A 4,810-nucleotide genomic window follows, 5' to 3' on the forward strand; every position below is an offset into this window, starting at 1 on the left:
CGCCAGAATCCATGCCCTCCAGAATCCACGCCCTCCCCCACCCCCGCTTGCTGCTGCTTTTGTGAGCCCTTTTAGGGAGACTGGGAGAGGATGTTCTTAGCAGTTCTCAGCCACTTCAACCCGCAGACATTGATTGAGGCCCTACTGTGTGCAAGGTCCTCTGGTAGACGCTATGGGGAAAAACAAAGTTGAATGAGACCTTTTTCCACTTTTTAGGGCAGACATCCAGCCAGAGAGGCAGCCAGACCCAATGGACTGCAACACCACATAGGGGTGAGAGGCAGGTGGCAGCAGCAGTAATGGAGATGGGGAGATGCATTTCACCTGGGAGGATCGTAGAGCGCTTCCTGGAGCAGGTGATTCTGAACTATGCCTTAAAAGAAGGGTATGATTTCAATGGTAAAGGCAAAGGGGAACTGTGTTCTGGGCTGAAGGAGCAGTGTAAGCAAAGATACAGAAGTGTGAAAACTGGGGGCAGGTGCATAGAATGAGCAGCCCAACATTCCTGGAGTTAAATGTGGTATAAAAGAGAGAGGGGCTCCAGAGAAGGCTTTCCATGCTGGGGCAGGAATCCACCTCCCTCCAGCAGGCGGTGAGAAGCAGCGGAGACTCCCACACAGGGAAGTAAGATCGGAGCTACAGCTGAGCTCCAGGGGGGTGCTGGTGGCATGGCACAAAGTGATTTCTCTTGTCTTCTTGGGGTGACGACGAGCTAGCCAGCCCAGGGGGTGGGAGGTGGGGAGGGTCACAGGAATGAAAGTGAAGAGAGGCAGGTGGGGAAAGGCTGAGGTGTGATAACAGGATGTGAGTGTGAAGATGAGGATGGGGGCGGGGGGGGGCGGTGGAAGTGGGGGACTGAGGCCGCGAATCTGCTGGACAGAGGGGGTGGGTGCCTCTGTGTTGAAGGGGCTGGTAGAGCCACAGCAGGTTGAGATGGAGGTCAGGTCCCCACCCCTGAGTCAGGCTGGAGCCTGGCGCCCAGGCATAAATTTGGTGTCATCAGTGAAGAGGGTCTGCCAATGGGTCCTCAGGGCAGAAGAGGAAAGAGACCAACCCACCTCATAGGGGTCATGTCCTCAATGCCTCTGTTACTCCAGGATCTTTGACCCCTTGTATAACTTGTAAAAGGGTCCAGGCCCATAGAAAGCCAAACTGTTTACTGAGCTGATGGACTGTACCGTGCATGGACCTTTCTAGAAGCAGTTTTGTCATCTCCCAGCCCCTAGCCTCCCCAGGGCCCCACCACTCAGAATAAGGGCCAAGCTCCTCGGCCCCACATGCAAGGCCTGTTGTAACCTAATGCCACACCAAGCTCCAGTCCATCATCCGCCCTTGCCCACTTTTTCTAGCCATTGACAACCTTCCCTGCATTGCGGCTCCACCGGGAAGCTCCCTTAACTTCTGCAGCCCAAGGTCTTCTCTGTCTCCAGGGGTTGGCTCCCCTGTCCCGGTCTAGGGAGAACTCGCTGTAAAGATCTTTCCCCACCTTAGCGTGCTGTACTGTAGCTCGCCACTCATGAGCGCTGCTGGACTGGAGCCCGAGGGACCACATCCCATTTACTCCCAGAGCTTCCAACTAGCAAATGGTAGTGAAGGAACAGGAAGTCCTGTTTTGAGAGCCCCCAGCTAAACTGGGCTTCCAGTACCAGAGCAGCCAGCAACCTGCCCTAAGCAGAAAGGTAGGGGGCTAGACGTGGATGTGTGCAGTGCACCTTTCACAGGATACTTCTTGTAACTAGTGGACAACCTCATGCCTAGTGTCTGACCTATGACCAGAGGCCCCTCACATGGGAAAGGCCCTAGTGGCTCTGGTGAGACCCATGTCTGGTTTATGCTGCCTGACCATTGCTCTGGCACCGGGAGCCCGGCCTAGGGCAGCCCCTGGTTGTTCTGATGGAAAGTGCAAATTCAACCCACCACCGCGGGAGGAAACAAGTCCAAAGATTTTTAATACAGAACCTGGGCAAGGGAAGTGTAATGAGACTGGAGGGAAGTCCTCGTCCCTGGTCACGGGAGGCAGGAGTGAAGAGTCAGGCAGAAAGAGCACGTGGCAACTAACAGCAGATAGAAGGGAATGATCATGGGTCAATAAGTTTGCTGACCAAATGCCTGACTGTTCTTTTTAAAGGAAGCATCAGAAAAGCAGGAGTGCAGTCTGCTAGGCAGAAGAGATGCCTCTAAGCGTTATTTTATTTTTGAGTGGTTGTGGTAGTGGGGGTGGGTGGGTCTCACTATGTTGCCCAGCCCTGGTCTCGAACTCCTGGCCTCAAGCAATCTTCCTGCCTTGGATTACAGACCTGAGCCTATTCCCACCCTGTCAGGCCTCTGACTTCTTATCTCTGCAGTCCTTTGGGTGTGGTGTAGACCTGGAAACTGCCAAGGGTGACTGTGTAGGGACCAGCCCCACAGGGTCAGTGGGTTTTTCTCCCCATGTGCAGAGACGAGAGATTGTAGAAATAAAGACACAAGACAAAGACATAAAAGACAGCTGGGCCCAGGGGACCACTACCACCAAGACGCAGAGACCGGTAGTGGCCCCAAATGCCAGGCTGTGCTGATATTTATTGGATACAAGACAAAGGGGCAGGGTAAGGAGTGTGAGCCATCTCCAATGATAGATAAGTTCACGTGGGTCACATGTCCATGGGACAGGGGGCCCTTCCCCGCCTGGCACCCAAGGCAGAGAGAGAGGAGAGAGAGACAGCTTACACCATTATTTCTGCATATCAGAGACTTTTAGTACTTTCACTAATTTGCTACTGCTATCTAGAGGGCAGAGCCAGGTGTACAGAGTGGAACATGAAAGTGAAACAGGAGTGTGACCGCTGAAGCACAGCATCACAGGGAGACGGTTAGGCCTCCGGATAACTGTGGGCAATCAGTCAGGCCCTCCACAAGAGGTGTGGAGCAGAGTCTTCTCTAAACTACCCCGGGGAAAGGGAGACTCCCTTTCCCGGTCTGCTAAGTAGCAGGTGTTTCTCCTTGGCACTGATGCTACCGCTAGACCACGGTCCGCTTGGCAACGGGCGTCTTCCCAGACGCTGGCATTACCGCTAGACCAAGGAGCCCTCTGGTGGCCCTGTCTGGGCATAACAGAAGGCTCGCACTCCTGTCTTCCGGTCACTTCTCGCTATGTCCCCTCAGCTCCTATCCCTGTATGGCCTGATTTTTCCTAGGTTATGATTGTAGAGTGAGGATTATTATAATATTGGAATAAAGAGTAATTGCTACAAACTAATGATTAATGATATTCATATATAATCATATCTATGATCTATATCTAGTATAACTATTCTTATTTTATATATTTTATTATACTGGTACGGCTCGTGCCCTCGGTCTCTTGCCTTGGCACCTGGGTGGCTTGCCGCCCACAGACTGAGCCCTACTTCTGGTAGGAAAAATTTGAATCTTATCAAAATGGATGCCAAGGCAACATAAAATTATAAGAAATCACTATCAGTACTTGGCCAGGCGTGGTGGCTCACGCCTATAATCCCAGCACTTTGGGAGGCCGAGGCGGAGGGATCACGAGGTCAGGAGATCGAGACCATCCTGGCTAACACGGTGAAACTCCGTCTCTACTAAAAAAAATACAAGAAAAATTAGCCGGGTGTGGTGGTGGGTGCCCGTAGTCCCAGCTACTCGGGAGGCTGAGGCAGGAGAATGGCGTGAATCCGGGAGGCGGAGGTTTAAGTGAGCCGAGATCGCGCTACGGCACTCCAGCCTGGGCTACAAAGCGAGACTCTGTTTCAAAAAAAAAAAAAAAAAAAAAAAAGAGAATTCACTACCAGTACTTGTTCTTATTTGTCCTAGACTTGCCACTGTTTCAGACTCAAAGGGTGCACTTTCCCTCTTTCATTGTAGGATTTAGTGCATGAATCTGCTCACCCCAAACATCCTCTTCATAACTTGGGGTTTTCGATCCTTTCCAGGCAGATATTGTTTATAATCCCTCACCTGGAGGGTTCCTCCACGTCCCCAATTTATACATTCATTTGTTCACCTGTACAATTTTTTTTTTTTTGAGACGGACTCTCGCTGTCGCCCAGGCTGGAGTGCAGTGGTGCGATCTCGGCTCACTGCTGGCTCCGCTCCCCCGGGTTCACGCCATTCTCCGGCCTCAGCCTCCAGAGTAGCTGGGACTACAGGCGCCCACCACCTCGCCCGGCTAATTTTTCGTATTTTTAGTAGAGACGGGGTTTCACCATGTTAACCAGGATGGTCTCGATCTCCTGACCTTGTGATCCGCCCACCTTGGCCTCCCAAAATGCTGGGATTACAGGCGTGAGCCACCGCGCCCGGCCTGTACAACAATTATTAAGACTGGCTTGTGCCAGGCTCTGCTGAGAATCCCAGGACACGGTGGGGACACGGTGGACGCAGGCTGTCCGTCAAGGGGGCTAGTAAGCCACTAAACAAAGGGTAGCCTTCAGCCCTGCGGCGCGGGCCAGCGAGCATTCAGAGGCCCAACTCGCTGTGGTTGCTCCCCGGGTCTGGTCCCGCGCGGACGTGGGGGCGGCCATCAGGACTGCCCGGGGGTTGGCGCCCTGCTGGGTTCCAAGCCGGTGGGCGCGGACAGTGTGGCGGGAAGGCCGGGCCTGGCGGGTGGGGGCGCGGCCTGGCGGTGGGGGTGGACCTTCCTGGGGTGGAGCCCGCGGCTGTGGGAGCAGGGCCCGCCGGGGCTCGGGCAGGGCGGTGGGAAGGCGGGGCCTTCTGAGTGGGGGCGGGGACTGCTGGAGTTGCGGGGCCTGCCTGGGGTAGGGCGGGGCAGGACAGCTTGGAGATAGGGCCCGGAATTGCGGGCGTC

At 54.2% G+C, this 4,810-nt stretch overlaps 1 long non-coding RNA gene across 1 annotated transcript in view, besides 2 other annotated features; it reads left to right on the forward strand.

Moving 5' to 3' along the window:
• The window catches only part of LOC124900479 (uncharacterized), a 31,093-nt gene extending 30,730 nt beyond the window's left edge, over positions 1–363 (forward strand). The window contains exon 3 of the long non-coding RNA XR_007068117.1: positions 217–363. This is a non-coding gene — a long non-coding RNA (uncharacterized LOC124900479). The remainder of the gene's footprint in view (positions 1–216) is intronic.
• Positions 2,511–3,010: an enhancer, noted in NCBI's record as "active region_19170". NCBI's record gives its function as "activates an Ori minimal core promoter by ATAC-STARR-seq in GM12878 lymphoblastoid cells {active_cell/tissue: GM12878}" and the evidence as "EXISTENCE:reporter gene assay evidence [ECO:0000049][PMID:35858748]".
• Positions 4,354–4,753: a silencer, noted in NCBI's record as "silent region_13830". NCBI's record gives its function as "represses an Ori minimal core promoter by ATAC-STARR-seq in GM12878 lymphoblastoid cells {active_cell/tissue: GM12878}" and the evidence as "EXISTENCE:reporter gene assay evidence [ECO:0000049][PMID:35858748]".

The sequence above is a fragment of the Homo sapiens genome, chromosome 22, assembly GCF_000001405.40.
Source record: "Homo sapiens chromosome 22, GRCh38.p14 Primary Assembly".
NCBI lineage: Eukaryota > Metazoa > Chordata > Mammalia > Primates > Hominidae > Homo > Homo sapiens.